General features: G+C 33.6%; 1 annotated feature.

The window, feature by feature from the left end:
• Positions 2536-3037: an enhancer, noted in NCBI's record as "NANOG hESC enhancer chr7:145694161-145694662 (GRCh37/hg19 assembly coordinates)". NCBI's record gives its function as "activates a minimal SCP1, AML or CMV promoter by ChIP-STARR-seq in primed H9 embryonic stem cells {active_cell/tissue: H9 hESC(primed)}" and the evidence as "EXISTENCE:reporter gene assay evidence [ECO:0000049][PMID:30033119]".

The following is a 25973-nucleotide window of genomic DNA, read 5'->3' as shown; positions in this document are numbered from 1 at the left end:
ATAACAATTGTAGCAATAGAAAATGCATATAGTGCATACAGTTGATACATGTGATATCATTTAATACTAAAAACAAACAAAACCCCTGTGGGGTAGGTCCCACTTTTACTTGGATTTTCTAGTGCAGAAACTGTGGATAAAGAAGTTGTGTCACTCCCCTACATTCATGTAACTTAAGTGAAGTCTAGTTGGGATTCAAACCCAGTGTGCCTCTGACATTGATGGTCCCAACCACAGCAGTCTGGCACCCCTTATCTATAAGAACAAGTGTCAGCACCAGGCAGCTTTCCCTGTTAACAAGGAGCATGGTGCTATGAGTGAATAGACAGTCCTTATTTGAAGAGTGAAAGAACCCCTAAAACTCTCACAAATAGACTTTACAATTTGTAAGAGTTGCATTTGTCTTAAAGATGTTACTATAAATTTAGTGGTAAAGCTACCTACAAAAATAATGTAAGCATTTTAAAAAATATTTTAAATATAATAGGCATGTGTTTATTTGCAAGTCTAAGCACTTAGAATCATTCAAAAATAAATTTTAAAATGGTTTGAAAAACAGCCACTATTTATATTTTAAACCTCTCTATTAAAACAACTAATAGGTGATTTGCTTTTTTATTCCCCCTGTAGTGAAGGTGTGATGTGCTGGCAAAACAGAGCATGGCTGGTTGAGGCATCACAGCAGACCCATCTGGCTAAATCTTAATGGACAGATCAAAAATGATTCTGTCTGAGGCTATTTTATGTGATGAAAATCTCATAAATTTAATGAAACAAAGACAATTTACTACTGAACAGGAAAGTCACCAGACACAGGTTCTGAAAGAAAAACTCTGAAAAGGAAAGTGGTAGAAGGAGCAATCAGGTGACTATGATGGATATTTCCAAAACAATTGCTGTATCTGACTTTTTGGTGTCTGCAGTTTCAGTTGCTACAAATCCTGTTGGTAAGCAATTTTGCCACATGGTCTTTAAAAGATGAACAGAGATATTCAAGTCTGTAAGTAAAATTTGGAGGAATTTGATTATTGTCTGATGCCTTGTAATATATTTTGAAGAAGAAATGTGTTGCCTATTTTGAAATTGGGTTGGCTAATTTCTCACATCACTAAATATTTAGGGCTTGTGCAAGTTTTATTCTTCCTTCATTAGAAGGCATACTTGGAGAAGTGTTTAACATATGCAGAATGGCAGCAAATACTTAATGTATTTCTAAAAGTATTATACATTCTTAATGCATTATTAAAATTGAAAATTGGTTTAAGGCATAAACTACCTAAAATACATTTATGCTGAACTATATTTTGAACTATATTTGAACTATCTCTGATGTACCTTACATGCTAAGTTTGTTTTTCCAATCTTTGTGTTATGTACAATAAAGCACCTCTATTCAGTTGTATGCTGATAAATGTTTAAAAAATGGCTCTGTGAGGGCCCTATCTGTAGCACTTACCAATTTCTGTGGTGTAAATACTCCCACCATAGTTAATTTTAAACCACCAATGCTGCCAACTGGCTTGAAACATTCCTGAATATTTAACAATTGGCTCTCTATAGCAGATTCCACTTGGTTTCAGCATCCCACTGTGAAACTCCAGAAATGTCCTTTTTAATCTTTAACAGGCTGCTTCTTGGATTTAAATATAAAGAATCATCTATGGTAGTAACATTTTATTTTTCAAATGCCCATGTTCTCTTGTAACCATTAGCACAGTCAATGGAAAGTCCAATATTGAAATGGATCTATCAATGCAGTGTTTATGAGAAACATTTAGTGCTGGAATTAGAAGTGTAAGCCACCATGCCCGGCCTAAAATTTTCTTTTAATAAAAGCTATATTCATCAAACAGTAAGTACAAAATGGATCAAAGGTAACTCATGAAATGGAATAACTTATACTGTTGAGTAAGAAGTTATTTACTTATTTTCTAGAAATGTCTAGTTTATCACTAATGAATGTGCATTGCTTATATAGGTTGTTACCATAGTAACTAGTACAAATAATAATTCAGTGAACTTCCTGGAAAACTTTTGCTGCTAATCCTTTTGATGACATGTGATTATTTCCATGTAATACATTCCATAAGTGAAATACTATGCCAGAAGATATTGTACCGCTATTCTCAAAAAGTGTATCTAGAATCCAATCACTTCATTCCATCCCCAGTCCTAATAGCTTGGGCCAAAGCACCGTCAGTTTTCCTAAGGGTTTTTGCAATAGTCTCTGAAATGTGCTGTTTCCACTTTTGTTGCTGAATCCTCCAATTTGCTCATTTACAGTGATCTTTTAAAACTGGAAGTTTGAGCGTGACACTTCTTATCTTTTCAGAGTTTTGACCCTCAAGTGGCTTCTCATATGTATATTAAAACCAAAGTTATTACAATGTTTTAATGGCTTATAATCTAACCTCTTTCTGTCTAAATTTATCCCTTAGAACTGGAAAAAAAAAAAAAACATTTCACTCATCATATTTTAGGAACTCACCACCTTACTCTTGCTCTGCTTCTCCAGGCACATGGCTGCCTCAGGCCTTTTTCCCTTGTTTTTTCCTCAGCCCGAAATGCTTTTTACTCAGATTTATGTATGACTGAGACCTTCACCTACCACATTCTAGCTCAAAATCACCTTCTTAGTGATTGAAAGTTGCATTTCTTTCATTCTCACACTCTGTTTGGTAGTAAGGTGGAGTGGGTTTGGGGCTAGGTTTAGCTCAGAGCGGTCAAGTTAAGTTGAAATCTCCTAAGTGTAAGTTGGGTGCTTTATGTTAACCTCCTTTATTATTTTATTTTTCTCCTTGCACTTTGTATAATTTGATATATTGTATAGTTTATTTTTTACCTTATTATTATTTGTCTCCCATGTCTAGAATGTAAATAAAATAAAGGGTGTTTTCTCATTAATGAATTTCCAGTTAATAAGTGCTGGACAAATATTTGCAGAATAAATGCATAAATTGATTCCTCACAAAATTTTCCCAGGAAAAAAATACAAAAAATAGATGAGTGTGGTGGCGTGCACCTGTAATCCAGCTACTGGGGAGGCTGAGGCAGGAGAATCTCTTGAACCCCAGAAGAGATTGCAGTGAGATGAGATCACACCACTGCACTCCAGCCTGGTGACAAAGCAAGACTCCACCTCAAAAATAACAACAATAAAAAATATTTTTCATTATATCATCAAATAACTTATTTCTGAAGTACCACATTAAAAGTTATATTGTTCTCTCTAATTTTTTGGTTAGAATATTTAAACTAAGCAGCCTAAAAAATAGTTGGTTACAAATACAGCCAGGAAAAAAAATAGAATATTTACATGTCTTCTCATTACCCTCGTCCCATTGTTTACCTCAAACTACTGTGTGGAGAGAGACATCATCGAAATGGTGCAAGACTCAAAGAAGGTTGTTGTATACTGATAAAAGTTTCAACTCATTGGAAAGATATAATACTTATATGACCACCAAATAAATAAGCCCAAAAATATATGAAGCAAATGTTGACAAAACTTCAGAGGAAAATAGTCCTATAATAATAATTGGCAACTTTAAGAACAACTTTCAAAAATGGATAGAACAACTTGACAGAATATTGATAAGGAAATAGAGGGCTTGAAACACTATAAGCCAATGAAGTCTAACAGATACATGTAGAACATTGCACATAAAAACAGCAGAATATACATTTTTCTCATGAGCACATGTAACATTCTCACAAATAGACCATATGTTAGGTTACAAAACAGGTCACCATAAATTCCACAATGACTGAAATAATAAAAAGTATTTTCCCCAACCACAACGGAATGAAGCTAGAAACAAATAGCAGAAAAAAAGTTAAGTTTTCCCAATCTGTCAAGTCTGTTTAATAGAGAAATGGTAGGATTTTCAACCAATAATGTTGGAACTACTGGTTTCCCAACGCAGAAGAATAAAGTTGGTTTCCTACCTCACACGATTTGGAAGCATTAACTCAAGTGGCACCAACAACCTATATGTGAGAACTAAAACTATAAAAATATTAGAAGAAAATGTCGAGGTACTTCTCATGATTTAGATTTGGCAACGGATTCTTAGATATGACACCCAAACCACACGTGGCAAAAGAAGAATAGAGATATTGGACTTTATCAAAATTAGAAACTTTTATACCAAAGGACATATCAAAAAAGTGACAAGACAACCTACAAAATGGGTTGGTTCTAATATCCAAGATAGAGAACAGTTACAACTAAATAACAACCTGATTAAAAAATGGGTAAAGTACCCAAGCAGACATTTCTCTAAAAATGATAAACAAATGGCCAAAGAGCATGAGAAAAAATGTTCAGCAATATTAGTCATTAGGAAAACACAAATCAAAACCACAATGAGAAACTACTTCATACTCTCTAGAATGCCTGTAGTTTAAAATAATGCAAATATTAATTTGATGAGGATGTGAAAAATTTGTTACCCTAGTATACTGGTAGTGGAAATGTAAAGTGGTCCAGTCATTGTGGAAAACAGTTCTTCAAAAAACTAAGCATATAATTACCATATAACCCAGTAATTCCACCTCTAAGTACAAATATTTGTACAAAAATGGTGATTATAGCACTATTCACAATAGCGAAAAGGCAGAAACAAGCCAATATCCATCATAGGATAAATTAATAAATAAATGTGATATATACATACAATGGAATACAACTCTTCAATAAAAAGGAAACAATGTACTATGAAACATGCTATAACATAGATGAAAATTTAAAATGTCATGCTAAGTGAAAGCAGCCAGGCTAGGCGTGGTGGCTCACACCTGTAATTCTAACACTCTTGGAGGCTGAGGTGGAAGGATTGCTTGAGGCCAGGAATTCAAGATCAGCCTGGGCAACACAGGGAGACCTCGTTTATACAAAATATTTTAAAAATATACATTAGACAGGAGGGGTGGTGTGTGCTTGTTGCCCCAGCTACTTGGAAAGCTGAGGCAGGAGGATCACTTGAGCATGGGAAGTTAAGGGTGCAGTGAGCCAAGATTGTGCCACTGCACTTCTGCCTGGATGACAGAGCCAGACTGTATCTTGAAAAAAAAATAGAAGAAGAAGGAGAAGGAGAAGGAGAAAGAGAAGGAGGAGGAGGAGGGGAAGGAGAAGGAGAAGAAGAAGAAGAAGAAGAAGAAGAAGAAGAAGAAGAAGAAGAAGAAGAAGAAGAAGAAGAAGAAGAAGAGGAGGAAGAAGAAGAAGAAGAAGGAAGAAGAAAAGAAGAAAGAAGGAAGAAGGAAGAAGGAAGGAAGAAGAGAAGGAGGAGGAGGAGGTAACACATATTGTATTAATTCATTTCAATTTCTATGAAATATCCAGAGTAGGTAAATCCACAGAGTCAGAAAGTACATTGGTTTTGCCTAAGACTGGGAGGAAAAGGTGAATGAAGAGTTACTGTGTAATGAGTATGAGGTTTTCTTTGTAGTGAATAAAAGGTTTGGAAACCAGATAAAGGTGGTGGTTGAATAAAATTGAGGATGCATTAATACTAAATGACACTGACTTGTACGCTTTAAAATGGTTAATTTTATGTTATGTGAATTTCACTTCAGTGTAAAAAATATTGTTTGTTAGGCAGTTATTTCTTTGGGAAGTTAATCAGCATCTTTCTTAGGTATACCTGAAGTAGTCAAATAATGTTTAACACACAATTACATATATATCTTTATATGTCTACAATAGATGCTTTAAGAAGCATATCAAATAATATACTTGTGGTAATTAAAAAATAACAATACATTTTCTTCAAATTCATGTCTTTAATATTCAGATGAATATATATATGAAATTAAAACACAGTAAAACTATATATGTGTATGTGTACACACACACATACACACACACACACATATATACACATATATATGTATATGATCTGTTTCAAACTATTATTTTGCTCTGCCTTTCTCCATAAAGCCAAATAAGGGGGATTTTTGGAAAACTTCTATAAAGCAATCTTAACAAATGTGGTTTAAATTTGTGACAAAGACTATTTGGAAACAGAAATTGTTATTATTATTAGTTTTAACATTACCTACTATGATCCAAAACATCAGCAAGAACAAAACAGAAATCTATCTAGAATTGTCTTAATTGAATAATCACTGATCCTTGCCCTTTCTTCCACTTTAGCTCATCAGAAGTAATCATTGTTAATAGTGACTAGATTTTGGTGTCTCTGGTATTTGCCTTTATAAATTTAAATAATATACTTATTTGTCAATTTTTTTATTTATCTACTGGAGTTGAATTTAATTCACTCCTCATTTTAAATAACAGGAATTAAATCAATTTTACCATCAATTCACTTCAAGTTTTTAATTGAAATTATTTTATTCTATTACTAGATTTTATGAATTAAATTTTTTTTTGATTTCTCAACTTCAGGTATTGTGTTTTTAGCTCCCAAGTTGAAAGGATGAAGAAATCACTTCTTTCTGACCTCTTCTTTTCTAAAATATTGGCAATTTTACTGATTTTTGACTTGTAATGCTTACACTTTATTCTTTAACCATGATTAGATTTACTTTGCTATGTCTGGACAAGTCTAACAATATAAATTCAGTCAAAAGGGTATTATGGTTATACAAGTATTTACTTATGGCAAAACCAATCATTCAATTAGACCCAGATATATGAGACATTGTTACTGTCTTTTATTAAAAGGATTGGCTAAAATGTTCTCTCACACAGCACTGAATATTTACAATGTTTATAATATTTTACATATTTAAACTATCAAATTTCAACATTTTATTTTTAGTCTAGGAACTTATTTCATTTAATTATTTGAATTGTTTTGATAAGCAATACATATTTCAAATATGATAGCTCTATTTAAAACAAAAGGTGCCCTGAATATTTTTCTTAATCAATATGAATATCAACTTATGTATTCAAAAATGTGTCAGTATATTTGTTTCCTTTGTTTAAGCATCATTCTCTGTTTAGTCAAAAGAACTCTCTATAACTATTTGATATTAAAATTTTTATTTGTTTATAAAAATCACTTAAAAATGAATTCTTGAGGATAATATGATGATATATTAAGAAGTAATCAATACAGAATTTATTGCTTACATGTACATAGAACTAGAACTTCAACTATAGGGTATCACAAAGTCCTTAATACAAACATTGTAAATATAATATGGCAAATGGCATGCAATTAAACATATATATGTATTTAACTGATGGCGCATTGTGCGTGTATACATGAGATAACGGTTGACACAGTTTTAGAAAAAACATGAGAAAGGTGTTGGGTCGCAATTCTCAAAATTAATATCAGAGTGACAGAAAATAAAGGTCCAAGAATACAGGAAGTCATTCATCTATATACATTACATACTATAAATGTGTTTAGTCACTAAGAATTATGCTTATTATGTTTTGGCTTAATAAGCTGTATACTTAATAAGCTGTGATGCCACTAGAGTGGCTCAATTGGTTTAACAGGAATCATTTATCGTTTTTTAGAAAGTATTTTGGTTCAGTGGGTGGAGGTAAAGATCAGTGCATCGGAATCAAGATATTTGGGTTTTTGTTCCTTTTCAGTCGCTTATTGGGTATTGTAGTTACCCCCTATAAATCCTCAGGTTCCTCATCTCTATGAAGGTAGCTATAATAACAAATAATCTTATTGAATTGCTGCTAAGATGAAAAATAATGCATGTACCATGTTTAGCTCAGTCAGTGGTAATTATTATTCATCTTTCTCACTGCATTTGCTTGTTATTGTGGACAAACAATGCCAAACAGAATGGATGTTTTTGATACACTTTCATGCTAGAGCATCCTGTGGTCTCAAATTTCTCTTTTTAAATATAGGACTATAATATCTGCATCAAGAGTGGTCATAATCCTTACATTAAAAAGAATGTAAATTAAGTCTAACAATGTATAAGCTGTAAAAGCTTTACCAATCTTAGAGACTAAAATGGCTTTTTAGGATAAAAATACACCAAAAATTCAAAACAGGTATTTGTGAACCTTATAACTGATAAACCCTAAAGCGGATTACATTATTTTATAAAACTTATGTAGAGGTTTAGAATATGCTTCTTCTAGGTGTATTAATTGAATATTTAATATTTTAAGCAAAACCCTATGAAAGAACTGTATACAGAATAGGAATATGAGCGACTATGGGGTAAATTACATGCCAATAACCACACAGCTAAGAAGTGCTGGTCCAGGATTCAACACGAAGCAGTGTAACTCCATAACAATGTTTTATTGAAAGATGAATTTAAAAACTGTTATATGTGAAAAAAGTAAGAAAAAATTTATTTAAAGGGCAAATCGTCATGAATCCCCCAGAAAGCTGTGTTTTATTGTTCATTAAACAATCCAAAAGACACATTTCAAGTTTTATTTTTCAAGTCTTTTATTTATGTATGTACTTACCTGCTGTATACCATAGGGTATACAAATGTAAAGGAAAAGAACGGGATTGGAAAATTGTCTCTTAAAGAGTAGTCACGCCTTTTCAACTATAATTTTTTTTTAAAAAAAGAAAGTTATAATTTTGAGTTACACTTTTATTTAGAAATGGAGTTTCCTTGGAATGGACATTGAAGGAATTAATACAGACAACAAAGAGTAGAGTCCAAGTCAGGACAGATGATATTGACAGGCACTTGGAAAAAATAGCAACAACAGACCTGTCAGGACTGTGTCTTGAGTAATGGAATTCATTCGTTTTGGTATTTTTAATGCAGTTGTAAACTGCCATTCTCCCACAGTTTAAAGCAGGTTTATTTTTTTGATGATATAGCTGTAAATGTGAAAACCAAATTAACTTGTCACATTTGACTGCCTAAAGTATTTCCCAATCCCATTTTTAGGGTATTGATAAAACCTTGATAATCAGGGGGAAGAATAACATTTTGACAGGATCACAGGAATGTCCCAAAGATGAAAGAAATGAACACAGTTGATTAATATATGTTTTTATGATGTATAAAATCTTATATTAAAACTAAGAATTCACAGTCCTACAAGTCAATACCCACTGTCTGAAATAGCACTATTATGTAGTATTGACTAGCACTTATATATTATTCCTTTATTTAATTAATCCTAATGTTTCCTTAGGGGATTCTCTATTTTTGAATAACATTCTCCCCATTTTAATACAGTTGCTTTTAAAGGCAGTAATTCTTTTCCTAAGTAGCGGTAAACTTAAATTAATAGGTCTACAAGGAATAATACACAGACATCGAACTAATTATCAATTTGAAGAGAAGGAAGAACATTCCTTGTGGAAATGTAGACCTTCAAATGAACGCTTGATGGACTGACTACAGGTCACTCACAACCGCATTATCAATGGATAACATACAGAACCTTTCCTGGCGAATTTTCTGTGAAAGAGGCGTCTTCAGTATTTCATCAAGTAAAATTGCTTCCATGCTGCAGAATCGCCTAAGTGCATGCTGCCTGAATCTGCCCAACCTTCTGTTGATAGAATAAGTTATTCTATCACAATAGCATTCTATTAGAATACATGGGAGGAAGCAGAAGTGCTGGGGGATTTTGTTGAATTTTAGCAGTGCCATTCAGAATTTATTTTATAAAATTATGACCTATCAAAAAAGAAAAAACCCAAATCAAATCAAAACAAAACAAATGACCCTTTTATTAATAGTTGGGATTGAATTGTAGAACTCCTATAATCATGTGTCTTTGAACTAAGTCTTGCCAGTAGACATCAAAGCAGGTGCAAACAAGCTGCCATTTCTTTTCATTTCTGGCAAAATTACCTCCCAATGGTCCTACCTCCTAATAATATCACATTGGAGGTTAGGATTTCAACATGAATTTTTGGAAAATATGAACATTTAGTGCATAGTATACTCACTCCAAATGCAAAAATTAACTCAAATGATTCAAAGACTGAAATTTCAAAGCTAAAGTTATAAAACTAAAAGTAAAATCATAAGCATAAATTCCGTGACCTGGATTAGGTAATAATTTCTTACATATCCTGCCAAAATCACAAGTAACAACAGAAAAAAAAATGGTGTATTGGAATGTATACACATTTTTAAATAAAATTCTTCTGAAAAAGATACCCTCAAGAAAGTAAAAATAAAATCCATAACATGGAAATAGGTACTTATATCCAGAATGTATAAATAACTCTTGTAATACAACGATAAAATGACAAAAAGCCCAATTAAAAACGGGAAAAACGACTTGAGTAGACATTTATCCAAAGAAGGTATGCAGGTTGCCAATAAACATGCATAGTGATGTTCAACATCACTGGTTATCAGGGAAAATGCAAATCAATACCACTTCAGACACGGTATCATGCCTATAACAAACAAGACTGAAGACTTATACACTGTTGGCAGGAATGTAAAAAGAGGCATCCACTTTGAAAAACAGAGTTAACATATGACACAGCAATTTTACTGCTAGAAGCATAATCAAGAGAATAAAAACCTGACTGCACAATACGTGAACATGAATGTTCATAGCACCCTTATTTATAAAAGCCAAAAACGAAAACAACCTGAAACCCCATCAATAATGAATGGATATATAAAATTCGTATATCCACACAAAGGAATATTATATGGTAATGAAAAGAAGTACTGACATTGAAAACACTAAATGCTGTTGAGGACACGGAGCAACAGGAACTCTGTCATTGATGGTGAGAATGCCGAATGCTACCATCACTTTGAAACACACTTTGGCAGTTTATTGCAAAAATAAATATATTTTTCCATGCAACCCAGCAATCATACTTCTTGATATTTACTCAAAGAAATGAAAAACTTATTTTTACACAAAAATCTGCACATGAATGTTCATAGTAGCTTTATTCATAATTGCCAAAAACTGGTAGTAATGAAGATTTATTATATGAGTAATGAATAAAAAATTTGTACATACTGATAATGAATATATATTTCATTTTATATATATTCATGTATATATTGAATATATATGTTCATATATATGTATATATATATGTTCATATATATGTGTATATATATGTTCATATATATGTTCATATATATGTATATATATATGTTCATATATATGTAGATATATATATGTTCATATATATGTAGATATATATGTTCATATATATGTAGATATATATGTTCATATATATGTAGATATATATGTTCATATATATGTAGATATATATATGTAGAGAGATATATATGTAGATATATGTATATATGGAGAGAGAGAGAGAAGTACGTGTGTGTTTGTGTGTATGCATTCAATGTTAACAAGAAATGAGCTATCAGGCCATAAAAATAGATAAGGAAACCTTAAATTAGTACTACTATGTGAAACTGAGTTGTACTTAGCGCTATTAAGTATTTGCAGCCTCCTTAGCGCACTCAGTAGGTGCAGCAGTCCCACATAACTACTAAGTGAAAGAAGCCAATCTAAAAAGGCTGTGCACTGTATGATTCCAACTATATGACTTTTTGGAAAGAGCAAATCTATAGAGACAATAAAAAGATTCCTGGTTTCCAAGGGGCTAAAGGAAGAAAATAGGAAGTACACAGATTTTTAAGACAATGAAAGTATTCCATATTATACTACGAGTGTAGATATGTATCATTATACATTTGCCAAAACTCATAGAATGTACAACACTGAGAGGGAACTCTAATGCAAACTGTAAACTACATGAACTTTGGGTGATAATAATATGTCAATACAGGTTTGCTGATTGTAACAAATGTGGTGAAGGATATGGATAATGGGGGAGGTTGTGTGTGGAGAAGAAAGAGGGACAGAGAGATAAGGGCACTCTGTACTTTCTGGTCAACTTTGTTGTGAACTTAATTTTAAAAAGAATATATAAACCTTTTAATAGCTATTAATAAATAAATGCAAATATCACAGCTTAAAAGAAAAAAAAAGTATTGTTACATGCTTCGACATAAAAGAACCATGAAAATTATACTAAGTGAAAGAAGCCAGTCATGAAAGATCATATTATGTGATTCCATTAAGGTTCTTATATATTAGACATTCTATAAATCCCAGTTAGTGTCATCACCCTTCATTATATCAGGGTGTTTACTACTAATTTCAGACTAATTTCAGTCTTCGTCAATGCCCTCTCCAATTTTCAATTTCAAGTTTCTTGAATATGGTAAAATGTGATTAGCTCAGTTTTTACTATGCAGTAGATTTTCTACAAATTCGACTCCCACTAAATTTTCCCACTTTCTTTAACTCTGATTTCAATTTGCACAAAACTAATGTGGTAGAGAGGTTCTTTATGTCTTCAATATATTCCACAACTATTAAATTTGAGTTTTAAATGTGGTGGTGTTTTTATGTGCCACTGTATCTGTTTGTATCTCTCTGATTTACCTAATACCACCACTATATGATGTTTATATACTATTTTAGTTTCTGGTGAGAATGCAGACTCCTGATTGACCCAGATCTAAAATGATAATTATTACAATATTTTCTCTGTGTTACTAATTCATGTGTTGGCTGTAACTCTGCAGAGATTTATCCTTTAATTTACCTTGCAATATTTTTACACCTAATATCATAGAGGCATTTAATACCCTTAATTCAAAAGTTGTCTTGTGAAGCCTCATATTTTATGGATTATATTAAAGTATTAAAATGAAAAAACCATAAAATATAACACAAATATTTTAATAGTTTATTTAAGGATATTCTTGCTAGTAACATGAGTTAAAAAGAAAATTCTAAAGGAGAGTAATGACACTAGGTAAGGAACCATATCTATTTTACCTTTTGTGGAGTACAGTTTAGTAGATAACCAATTTTTCAAAATAATATAAATTAAATAGGGATGGGTGAATTAAACATGCATAGTTACTTTCTCTAGAAAATAAGTTAAAAATCAAGTGATTCATAGCATATATTTTAATCTTCCATGGAAATACACAACTCTATATTTAAACATTATTCATAATGGTAGAAACCAGATATTAGGTGATTTGATCTATAAGAAGATATCAGAAACCGGGATAATATAATGTATTTTTTCTTGCCCTCTTGGATTACATTTCTTAGTTTTTTTTTTTTTTTTCTGGATCCTCCTCTTGCTGAATTATTACATTTTAGTATAGTGTAAAGTTCAGTCCTTAGAGCTTTTCTTTGTTCTACATTCACTCACTCCTTAGTAGTCATATATAGCCCTGGTTTGAAATACCATGTATACATAATAAATCTCAAATTTAAACCCCCAGTTAAGACAGATTTAAAGTATAGTACCAAACCATCTTTGAGCCTGAGGCAAAAGGAAAAATTAGTAATGTTGACTTTGTATTAGTTTTCTATTGTTATTGTCACAACTTACCACAAACTTACTGTTTTAAAACAAAACTAAAAACCACCAAAAATTTCGTATCTCACAAGTCTCTAGGTCAGAAATCCAATAGCCTCATCTGGTTTCTCTGTTCCAGGTACAAGGCTAAAATCAAGATGGCAGTTGGGCTTTTTTGCCTGGAGGCTCTAGGGGAGAATCCACTTCCAGGCTCGTTCAGGTTGTTGTTGTAAGAATTTTGTTTCTTGAAGTTGCAGGGCTGAGGACCCTGTTTCCTTGCTTGCTGTCGCCCAGTGTTTGTTCTTACCTTCTAGAGGTCATCCCTTGGCATTCTCTGGCTGATGACTCATCCTGGTTTATTCTCAAAGCCAAAGATAGCCAATTTTATCTTTCAGTCTCTCAGATCTCTCCTGCATTTTCTTCCACCACACGTTCTGACTATTTTGCCTTCCTCTGCTGCTTTTAAAGTTCATAATAGTGCAAAGGGACCACTGAACAATCCTGGATGATTTCCCTATTTTAAGAGCAACTGATTAACAAATATTATTTTAAAGTACCTTTTCATACGTGAGGTAATATATTTACAGATGAAAAACAAGAGAGTAAAGATAATGGGGGCCAACGTCCTGCTACCAAACAAATTATAAATGAAATTTTTTTTTCACCATGGATTTTTTGGCATTAATTTTGATTTTTAAGATATATCACATTGAAATATTTTTAATCTTGATTACTCAGTTTTTTGGTGCTTCCTTAAATTTTGTATCTGAGATGAGTGCTTCACTGACTTCACCATAGTTCTAACCTTGCAATATCACTATCTGCCTACCGAGATCTTCACTGGGAATTCCAATGGACATCCTAAATGTGTCACGTCCAAAACCAAACTCCTGATTTCCCCTTCAAAACCTGTCCTTCCTATGGTGTTTCTTATCTCAGTAAATAACACTTTCATTGACCCAGTTGCTAAAGCCAAAATACTTGGAATTCATCCTTGATTTCTCACTTGAATATATTCCAGGTACACTCAGAATGAAATCCAAATTCCTATCTATGACCCATATAATCTCTATGATTTGAGCTTGGCCATTTAACATTGTCTTCGCTATTCGCCATACACCAGCTTCACCATATTGATCCTCCTCTTATTTTACCAAATTCTAAATAAGAATCTATCTAGAGTTATTCCTTTACTATTTCTTCTGCTGGAAGTTTCTCTTCCCAGATTCCACTTAGCTTACTCCCTAAATTCATTCAAATTTCTACTCAAATGTCACTTTCTCAGACCCATCTCCAGTTCTCACCCCATTCCTTTGCTTTATTTTCTTTATAGAGCTTATTATTATGTGATATTTACCATAATATTTTAAATTTGTTATTTATCTTCCCCTACATTAAAGCTTCAAAAGAATAACAATTTCTTTTGATCATAGATATATTCCGTGCTTGGAACAGAATCTGACACAAAGGCACTCTAGATACTAACAAATGCTTAATTAATTGACCGATGTGTACAATCCACAAAATAAAATGTAGCATAATGTGTTTTTGTGGAACATAAAGATGGATTCACAAAATCTAAAGTCTCTGTGATATTTGTAGAAAATTGTGGGTTCTATAAAATCCTTAGCCAATTTGTATTAAATGGTCAGGGAACACTCGTGCAATGCACATCCTCTCTTCAATCAGAAAATGTCTGCAGGTTTCAGGGATCATGGATTTATGGATATTCATTCTAGTAACCTGTGAACATCAGATCAATGGCATTATAAACAATTTACAAACAGGAAATTGATGGACAGGATACTAATAATTTATCCCACAGCCTTATTTAGCTCTACTCACTGTAGTCTAGTAACACAGGATCCCAAAGTAAACAAGGTCATAAAAGAGCTGCATGGCACTGCATTAGATTATTAATTTCACAGAGTTCTGGTGTGGTACCAATCTGTGGTCCCTGTTGCATTACAATTAATTGAAAGATATACATTGCTTAGGAATAACCACATCCTGAAAGATTACATTCAGGAGATTCATTCTCTCATTAGAGGTTTATTACATTTATATATGCATTATTGAGTTAGGAACTATGGTGTATATAAAGATATATAATAGATAGATGTCTCTGACCCTTGAAATAAAATAGAGTCTTATGAGATATTACATACATGCACTACAAACTTACCTACATGTACAAGAATTAAAATTACAGAAAGTAATTAAATCAATACTCTATGAGTACCTATCATGTTAAAAATAATTTTCCTGAAGCAATGAACGTATTTTAAGTATACATTATCCTTATATTGACTAAACCATTAGTTTCAATAAAAATATCTCAGGATAAAGTTCCAAAAGGATTATTTAACAAATAAGAATGCTAGAGGGTGACAGATCGATGTATACAGTTGAGGAAACCTCTTATTCAGTAATAAATATTTGAACAGGGAGCCCTTTAACAGAGTTAAAAAGAGGTACAGTGAAAATTCCCGATTGAGAAAATACTATATGCAAAGGCATAGAGGCACTGTAATTATTGTTAATAATATTAGCCAGGATGTATATAGTGCTTTTCATTTTACAGATTGAAGGCAATTCTTGATTTAAAAATAGGAAGAATTTCTACACATTGACCAAACATTTTTTCCTCTGTGTGCAGAAAACAGAAATGTTAATAGCCTTTTTGACTCCTATAGACACTCTGATCCTAAATTCTCACTGATTTCTGGAAATTCCAGTGTTGAAAATCAATTTCTTGTTCAGGAGTGCTCTATAAAATTGAAACTCTCTGGAAGGTTTAGTGCCTTTAACTAATAATGGATTACTGGACAACCTGCTGAGAGAAAAACTAGGTTTATTAAAAGAGGGAAGGATGCTGAGCACAATATAGGACACATAGCTTTCTGCTTGTCTTTTCTCATGTGTTATGTTAAAGTGACTCTGCCAAGTGCAGTTCAAAATATAAGAACCGTAGTAATTTAAAGGAGAATAACACTGTGTTACGAATCACATTGAGGATGGGGTGAGGAGATTGGTAGGATTGGAATCTCAATTAGTTGATCTCTGATTTAAATGATTTCAGGGTCAATGGTATGAACATTCTGCCAAAATATTTTGTTTCCTCATTTATATATTTTAAGCTCCATCAATAGACATTTCTCATTTCACCCCTTTGATTTAAGGCTTTGTTTTGGGTGAAAATGAAGTTTCTTCTTAGGGGGGTTATAGTTAAAATTTTATGACTTTTTGCACCCTTGTGTTCCATGGGTATTTAAGAGCATTTTCTGAGAGACCATTTTTATAGTGGATAAAAATGGAATGCATGTATGTAAGTGTGGAGAAGATGGACATTGCCATAGTGGCGATGAACCAGAAAAAGAGAAAACAAGAAAGCCCAAGACAAAATATTCTTATATTAAAATTTTGCTAAAAGCTTCACTTGAGCTATTTACCTTCTTTGTATGATGTATGTCACCTTTATTTGTAAACATGGTATACCGTGAGTCACTTTGACTATTCCATCCAGTTAGGTTCAATAACCAAGAATCATGTAACTCATGTGAAGAAGCTATCTATTTAGGTCCTAGACTATATGTGAGTATAACATGCTGACAAATAGAGGACAAAGCGAAAAACTGCAAATAACCCGAATGAAAGAAAATATAGTGTCTAAACACAACATTTTCTGTTCTCCTTCCTACCAAATGAAACAAAAAATACATATATACTAGTTCTCAATGGGGATTATTGAGTATCCATTGTACTATGTGCACTGTTCTAGGCAGTTGGCATATATCAATGAATAAATATCAGTGAGTAAAAGGGATGAAGTTCTTGATCTTTGTGTGGCATAATTTCTAACAGAGAGAATACAATGAAACATAAGCAAATAAGAGAACATTGTCTAGAATATTAAATGTGATAAATACTATGGAAAAGAGAAAAAGTGGAGCAGAATAGAAGGGCTTGGAGTATGGGTTGAAGGGGCGATATGTAGGTTACACGGAAAGTGTGACTACTAATGAATTAATCTGTTAACATTTTTCTGTCTTAATTTTTATACATTTATAGATGTTTAAATTTAGTTAGAAACTGAGATTTTTCAGAAAAATGTAGGAAGTAGGCTAAGAAAGCTATGTCCATCTAGTTTAATTAACAGCAATCAGTACCCGTTAGCCAATTATTTACCTAGAAACACTCTCCTCTGCTGTAATATATAATTAGAGGCAGTGTATACTGTATGGGGTTTTAGCAGAATGGCACTCTCGGGCAGATCTAAAAGTAGACTCTTAAATATGAAGAGGAAGATAATGGGATTATAAGGATGAGTTTAGAGTTGCCTGTTCAGCTTCTTGACAGCCAATCACAGAGTCTAGGGAAGAGTATATCTGTATCCAGTTTAAAGTGAGGGGTCATTTTGAGTCTAAAGTTGTTTACAATGAGGGAAGCAGAATAAAATTGAGATCTCCGTTAAGTCCTCTTATTGTAGAGAGCTACAAAGGACTCAGTCTTGACTTATAATGGCATGAACAGACACTAAACAGAACACTATTATGTTCTGAACAGAAAAACTGTTTTAGTCCTAAGGTGATTGGCAGGATTTGGAGAGCTGATTAAATTGCAGGCCAAAGCAAATTCTATGTTTCAAAATATCATTTATCCTTTGAAAGAGACAGGCTGAGAGATTTTAATGTGGCAGAAGAATGAGGACAGCTTTAATTTACTCAGCACTAAAATGATAAAGAATAAAAAGACCATATTTAGTCCCCAACTTGGATTTTCACCACTGAAAATGACTGTGAAGGATATAACTCTTCTTAATCCATTTCCTATTATCAGAAGGACTGCAAGGAGAATCTGATGAAAATGAATTACATACCCTGCAGAAATCTGTGTATGGAAAGTAATAAAGACCAACAAATGTTTTATAAATGAAAAAGAAATGAATGAATGAGAATAGCTTTACTTAAATTTCAGACATTATACTTTGGTTTGATTTTTAATATAATTATATAAATGGTAAAAAATGAGAATAAAGTTTCTAAAATTTGAGAACTAAGAGAAAATTTTTAAAAATTTTAAAAAGAATATGAGAAAGATAATTTAAATATACCATTTTGTGTCAATTTGATGCAAAATGACCTGTAAAAAAAATCCTAAGATTTTGAGTGGTACTATGTCTTCACTCAGAAACTCATCATGATCAAAAGGTTAAATTATATTATGACTTTCACAACTGAGGTTTAAAATAATGGCTGATCTGAGACTGTAACCAACTCTGACTTTTAAAATTCTGTCCTTTTTATACTATACTGTCCCCATTGAAGGCAAAAGAAATGTAAATCAGGGTGCAAAAGACTTTAAAAGTCAATTCAGGCCAGGCACGGTGGCTCATGCCTGTAATCCCAGCACTTTGGGAGGCCCAGGCTGGTGGATCCTTTGAGACCAGCCTGGACTGCATGGCAAAACCCCGTCTTTACTAAAACTACAAAAATTAGCTGGGCTTGGTGGTATACGCCTGTAGTCCCAGCTGCTTAGGAGGGTGAGGCGGGATGATCCCTTGAACCCTGGAGGCAGAGGTTGCAGTGAGCCGATATCATGCCTCTGCTCTCCAGCCTGGGTGACAGAGTGAGAGTGTCTCAAAAAAAAAAAAGAAAAAAAGTCAATTCATTAATCATTTATTTTATTGCAGGAATATATTTTTATTGAAGAAAGTATGTCAAAAATATGAAATCAGGAATCACAAGGAAGAAAATCATTCACAATTTTATCACTTTAGAAAAATGAGTATTTTATTCTTGATCATTCTATATATATGTATAGTAATACATATGTAAATAATGTATTAATAAGTGAACATGATAAGCAGAATGACTATTACATGATTATACATAAAAGATAGCATACATGTACATATGCATGTTATACATGAAAGGTACTATACATCTACCTATACATGAATATGTGTATTTTATATGTATGTGTAATAGACATTCTGCTTATCATTTTCACATAAATTAATATCTTAAGCATTTCCAATTTGTTGGCTAAGCTTCAAACTATCATTGCTAATGGCTGCAAAATATTATATGAAATTGGTGAATCATCGTTTGTATAGTTACTCTCCTTTGGGGAAATTTCAGCTTCCCCAAAATTGTTTATTCAGATCAGGGTGCACATTTGTCTATAATTGGATTTTCCTGCTCAATTTTTGTTTCTGATAATAATTCATTATGCGGTTTGAATATAATGCTTTCTATTGCATATGTTTCAGTGAAGTGACTTTTCCCTCAAAATCTTAGAAAGGGAATGTAGGAGATGATCATAGTGCTCTACCAGATTTCTTTCAGATTACCATAAAAAAAAAAATCCTGTGTACCTTACAGGCTGGAATTTAGTCCCCAGCAGCCTGCATCTTGGTCCTTTCTCAATATGTACACCTTAACCCATACTGTATACTGTTGTGGATTTGTGCTGAGCCTTGGAATGTCAGGCAGTGGCCCCTAAGGAACAGATTTGGTATGTCCCTATTCTAGATTGTTCTTTTTTCTTTTTTAATTTTATTATTATTATACTTCAAGTTTTAGGGTACATGTGCACAACGTGCAGGTTTGTTACATATGTATACATGTGCCATGTTGGTGTGCTGCACCCATTAACTCGTCATTTAGCATTAGGTATATCTCCCAATGCTATCCCTCCCCCTTCCCCCCACTCCACAACAGTCCCCGGTGTGTGATGTTCCGCTTCCTGTGTTCTTATAATCTATCCACCCAGGTGAAGTGAGTTACAGGAGTTTGAAAACAAGATTTTGACAAGGAATTGATGCAATAAAAGGGTGATAATACCCTGCAAAAAAAATCCCGATATGTTTGTTGTTGTTGATACTGTTTTTTGTTTGTTTGTTTTTAACAGAGAAAGACATTTAAACTTTTCTCCTCACTTATACCTTTGACATGCCCTTAATCAACCATGTAGAAACACTACCAAATCTCACTGGGTGCTTGATTGGAAAAACACGTACATCCTAACCAAAGAAAAGAAAGACTTAATTAGGGTTAATTGACCTTTTTATATACATTGTGGAGGATAAGTGAAACACACTAAAGGCTTATTTATTGACACCATATGGCACTTACTCACAGGATGCCCAAATTATGTAGAACAAGGATAATCAAACTAAATAGCTCGTCAAAAGGTCTTCCACTCAAAGATGCTGCTATTTCTACTTTGGAAGCTTTTAGATACCTCACTGGACCCCAAAATTCTTTATACATTCTTTTACTCAAATCTTTCCAAGAATCTAGTAAAGCAACCTGCAAAAATTATTCTTCATCTTCAAAATGTAAATGTCATTTTAATGCTTATCATTTATTTATTAATTTATTAAATATATGTTTTCAATAACAGTTGCATGACCACTGCCAGATTTTGTGCTAATGATTGGTAAGGTAAATGCCATCACCCCTGCTTTCAAATAATTGGCACATCTTGCATTAGAGACCTAATTTACAAGCAGTAAAATGTGCCTATGAAGGAAATATGCAGGAAACAAATGTTTGGAAAAGATGATGGGTAGCTGACAGAATTGCTAAAAGCCTAGGAGCTTGAAAGAAGCAGGCTCTTAGAATGGAAAGAAAGGCTGTCAGGTCCAATCTATGGTCAAAAAATTATAGCACAGGTACTAGTGCAGTGAGAATATCTCTGCTGGTATACTTTTGCAACTGCTCCATTAGTGACTGTCTCTTTAGATGCAACAATCAAACAATTACAACGGCAACAATGAAACCTCTCAGTGCCTACTTTCTGCATACTTTGGTCCCTGACTCCAGGTGCAATATTCTGGGCAAGGAGCCAGGCCACATGTGCATTGAGCCAGCAGAAGTAGCTTTGCCAGTGGGAGGCAAAGTCAAGTTTATAAAACAGATAATTTCCCAAATATTAGTAGACAGTTAACCCAGCATGGAGGATCAAACAAACAATATCTACTATGTACATTCAACATATTGAAACCAAGTTCTAGCTGATGCAGAAAAATATATCAAAATGCCCTCTGATTAGTGAAAATTACAAGCACAAAAAATGCCTCAGTGTAGATTTAAGAATATAAATAATGTATATAGATACATAAATATTAACTTTTTTTATTATTATACTTTAAGTTATGGGATACACGTGCAGAACGTGCAGGTTTGTTACACAGGTATACACGTGCCATGGTGGTTTGCTGCATCCATCAACCTGTCACCTACATTAGGTATTTCTCCTAATGCTATTCCTCCCCTCGCCACCCACCCCCTGGCAGGCACTGGTGTGTGATGTTCCCCTCCCTGTGTCTATGTGTTCTCATTGTTCAACTCTCACTTATGAGTAAGAACATGAGATGTTTGGTTTTCTGTTCCTGTGTGTTAGTTTGCTGAGAATGATGGTTTCCAGCTTCATCCATGTCCCTGCAAAGAACATGAACTCATCTTTGTTTATGGCTGCATAGTATTCCATGGTGTATATGTGGCACATTTTCTTTATTCAGTCTATCATTGATGGGCATTTGTGTTGGTTCCAAGTCATTGCTACTGTGAACAGTGCTCCAATAAACATACATGTGCATGTATCTTTATAACAGAATGATTTATAATCCTTTGGGTATATACCCAGTAATGGGATTGCTGGGTCAAGTGGTATTTCTGGTACTAGATCCTGAAGAAATCGCCAGACTGTCTTCCACAATGGTTGAACTAATTTACATTCCCACCAACAGTGTAAAAGCATTCCTATTTCTCCACATCCTCTCCAGCATCTGTTGTTTCCTGACTTTTTAATGATTGCCATTCTAACTGGCATGAGATGGTATCTCATTGTGGTTTTGATTTGCATTTCTCCAATGACCAGTGATGATGAGCCTTTTTTTCATGTTTGTTGGCCACATAAATGTCTTCTTTTGAGAAGTGTCTGTTCATGTCCTTTGCCCACTTTTTGATGGGATTGTTTTTTTCTTGTAAATTTGTTTAAGTTCCTTGTAGATTCTGGATATTAGCCCTTTGTCAGATGGATAGATTGCAAATATTTTCTCCCATTCTGCAGGTTTCCTGTTCACTCTGATGATAGTTTCTTTTGCTGTGCAGAAGTTCTTTAGTTTAATTAGATCCCATTAGTCAATGTCAGCTTTTGTTGCCATTGCTTTTGGAGTTTTAGTCATGAAATCTTTGCCCATGCCTATGTCCTGAATGGTATTGCCTAGGTTTTCTTCTAGGGTTTTTATGGTTTTAGATGCAAGGCTGGTTCAACATATGCAAATTAATAAATGTAATCCATCACATAAACAGATCCAATGACAGAAACCACATGATTATCTCAATAGATGCAGAAAAGACCTTCAATAAAATTCAACACTCCCCAGGTTAAAAACTCTCAATAAACTAGGTATTGATGGAATGTATCTCAAAATAATAAGAGCTATTTATGACAAACCCACAGCCAATATCATACTGAATGGGCAAAAGCTGGAAGCATTCCCTTTGAAAACCAGCACAAGACAAGGATGCCCTCTCTCATCACTCCTATTCAACATAGTATTGGAAGTTCTGGCCAGGGCAAACAGGCAAGACAAAGAAATAAAAGGCATTCATATAGGAAGACAGGAAGTCAAATTGTCTCTGTTTGCAGATGACATGATTGTATAGTTAGAAAACCCCATGATCTCAGCCCAAAATCTCCTCAAGCGGATAAACAACTTCAGCAAGGTCTCAGGATACAAAATCAATGTGCAAAAATTACAAGCATTCCTATACACCAATAATAGACAAACAGAGAGGCAAATCATGAGTGTTTTTATATGTTATTATATTGTTATTTTTATGTTATAGAAAGACATATGAATAATGTCTCATATGTCTTACTTTAGTTGTACAAAGTCAGATTATTTTATGGTTTTTCTCTATAAAATGAAATAGTACATATTGTTCACATTCTAGTAATTCTTTTTTAGATGAGCCTCATCCTGTAGCCCACGTTGGAGTGCAATGGCGTGATCCCAGCTCAGGCTGGAGAGCAATGGCATGATCTCAGCTGACTGAAACCTCTGCTTCCTGTGTTCAAGTGATTCTCCTGCCTCAGCCTCCCAAGCAGCTGGGATTACAGGTGCACACCACCATACCCGGCTAATTTTTTGTATCTTTAGTAGAGACAGGGTTTCACCACGTTGGCCTGGCTGGTCTTGAATTCCTGACCTTGTGACCCACCTGCATCGGCCTCCCAAAGTGCTGGAATTACAGGTGTGAGCCATTGCACCCGGCCCCATTCTAGTAATTTTTTTTCTCTCTCTTTTCTTTTTCTTTTGAAACAGGGTCTTTCTCTGTCACTGAGGCTGAAGTTAAATGGCATGATCATACTTCACTGCAGCCTTGAATTCTGGAGAAGCTGAGACAATAGAAGCATGCCATTACACCCACACAATTTAAAAAAAATTTTTTTTAGGAGACGTGGTGGAGGAGAAGTCTCACTATGTTGCCCAGGCTGGTCTTAAACTCCTGGTTGGCCTAAAGCAATCCTCCCATCTCAGCCTCCCAAAGTGCTGGGATTACAGGCATGAACCACCACACCTGGCCATTTTTTTTCTTAATATCAGCAATTATCTATAGAATATTGAACCTACTTAATATTATAAAATGTTATATTATCAATATTATTATATAACATTTGATATTTATAATATATAATAAATATGTATTATTGTATATTTAGTGTATGCCATATTATATTTTCTCTAAAATATTTTATATCTCAAACTTATATAAAATAACCTGATCATAATTCTTCCACTCCTGAATTCCATAAGTAGAAATTTAACACCTCAAAATGGCATTCAAACCTTTCATAATATGTTCTCAACCTATCTTTCTGGTATCACAGTCTGTCAGTCTCACCCATAAATGTATGTTCTAAGTTAACCTCTTTTCTTGCTATTTTCTAGGCATGGCATACATCTTTATAATTCTGTATATTTGCTTGTAGTTTTTCCTTGACCTAGAGATTCTTTCCCCAACTTGACCTTCGAAAAGAATATAACTGATAAGTAAAGACACAGCAGGAATGCCTCTTTCCCTCTGAGCCTGTCACCTACTTTTCTGAAAAAGAAAATAGATAGTGTCTGTTTTTTACAGTAGCAATATATTTTACAATAGTTTCACAGATGAGTTTCCCTGCAAGAGTGTGAGGTCTTTAGAATCTGGAATTGTATCTTACACTCCTGTGTGTGTGTGAATGTGTGTGTGTGCCTAGAATGATACAAATATCTGTTAAATATTATTAAAGAGTGGTACATGCTTAGACTATATTGCTGTTTCTTTGTATCTCAGTAACATTCTAAGGTGGTATATTTTTTCTAATTACTGTATGAAATAGATAATTTTCACAACTATGACATATCATTGTAGTTAAGACACCATATATGCAGAAATGTTCAATGTCACTAATTCAAAGTGAAAAAATTGACAAAACCAACTTAAATACAATATTACTCATTATTTACTCTATGCTTGTTCATACATATATTACACATACTCATGAAGGGTTAGAATCATACAGGATGTTAAGGGAATTTATGTTATAGTAAAAGAATAAATTTCAGAAGGATTATCTTTTTAAAATATGCCTGGGATTTTTGGGGACCAAAGGTGAATTTTGTTCTTTCTTCTTCCCCAACCCTGATCCCCATCCTAGTAATCCTCTGGGTTGAGTTGTTTTTATTTTTTCCTGTTATCTTTCAATGTGCTGGCACACATCATTAAGCTGTCAGACCACTTGTTAATATATTCCAGGAGGTAATGGCATTTGTTGGTTTCTAGTATACAGCCAAAGATAGTTGTATGCACTTTCAGTTGTAATGATAACAACTGCCATTTATTAACCAGAAAGTGAGAGCCAGACACTTTGATAAGTACATTACATGGATTCACTGTTTAAATCCTTGAAACAATCTTTAAAAAATGGTATTCCTGCGGTATTCTTTTAACCCATGAGGACATTGATGCTTGGAGTAGTTATATTACAGATATCACAAGGGCTCAAACCAAGTTTCTTCTGGGTTTGTCTCCAAAGCCTTGCTCTTATCATGATACCAACCCATGGAAAACCTGTTATTTAAAAAGAAGCCATTGCAAGCTTATTGAATTTCTGATCTCTGCCTAAGTCTTCTATATTCGCTACAATATGGGGTGTGCTCATGAAGGCTGTGCTTCTGCACACATAAATTAAATATTGGATAATTTACACATCTGCCTAGACTGACTCTTCTTATAGACAGCTTCTGTTGTCATACACATCAGTTAATCACCCATTTGTTAGTACTATAGAAGGCCAAACGACAATCTCTAAGGCTGTTATTCTAGGTAGGAAGTAAGGATAAGAAGGTAGCAAACAGAATGTATATATGTATGTGCGTGTGTGTGTATGTGTGTGTGTATATATACACACACACATACACACACACGCACATACATATATACATGTACATATGCACATATATATGAGTGTATATGTAAAAATAATATATGTACATTGTATATATGCATTACATCTGAATGCATATATAAATTATATATATCCCTAAATTTTTGGAAGAGAATAATTGGTGGATGAAAGCAACTG

Source organism: Homo sapiens, chromosome 7 (assembly GCF_000001405.40).
Source record: "Homo sapiens chromosome 7, GRCh38.p14 Primary Assembly".
Classification (NCBI taxonomy): Eukaryota; Metazoa; Chordata; class Mammalia; order Primates; family Hominidae; genus Homo; species Homo sapiens.
The sequence above is the reverse complement of the archived record's forward strand: the minus strand, read 5'-3'. Positions and strand labels throughout refer to the sequence as shown.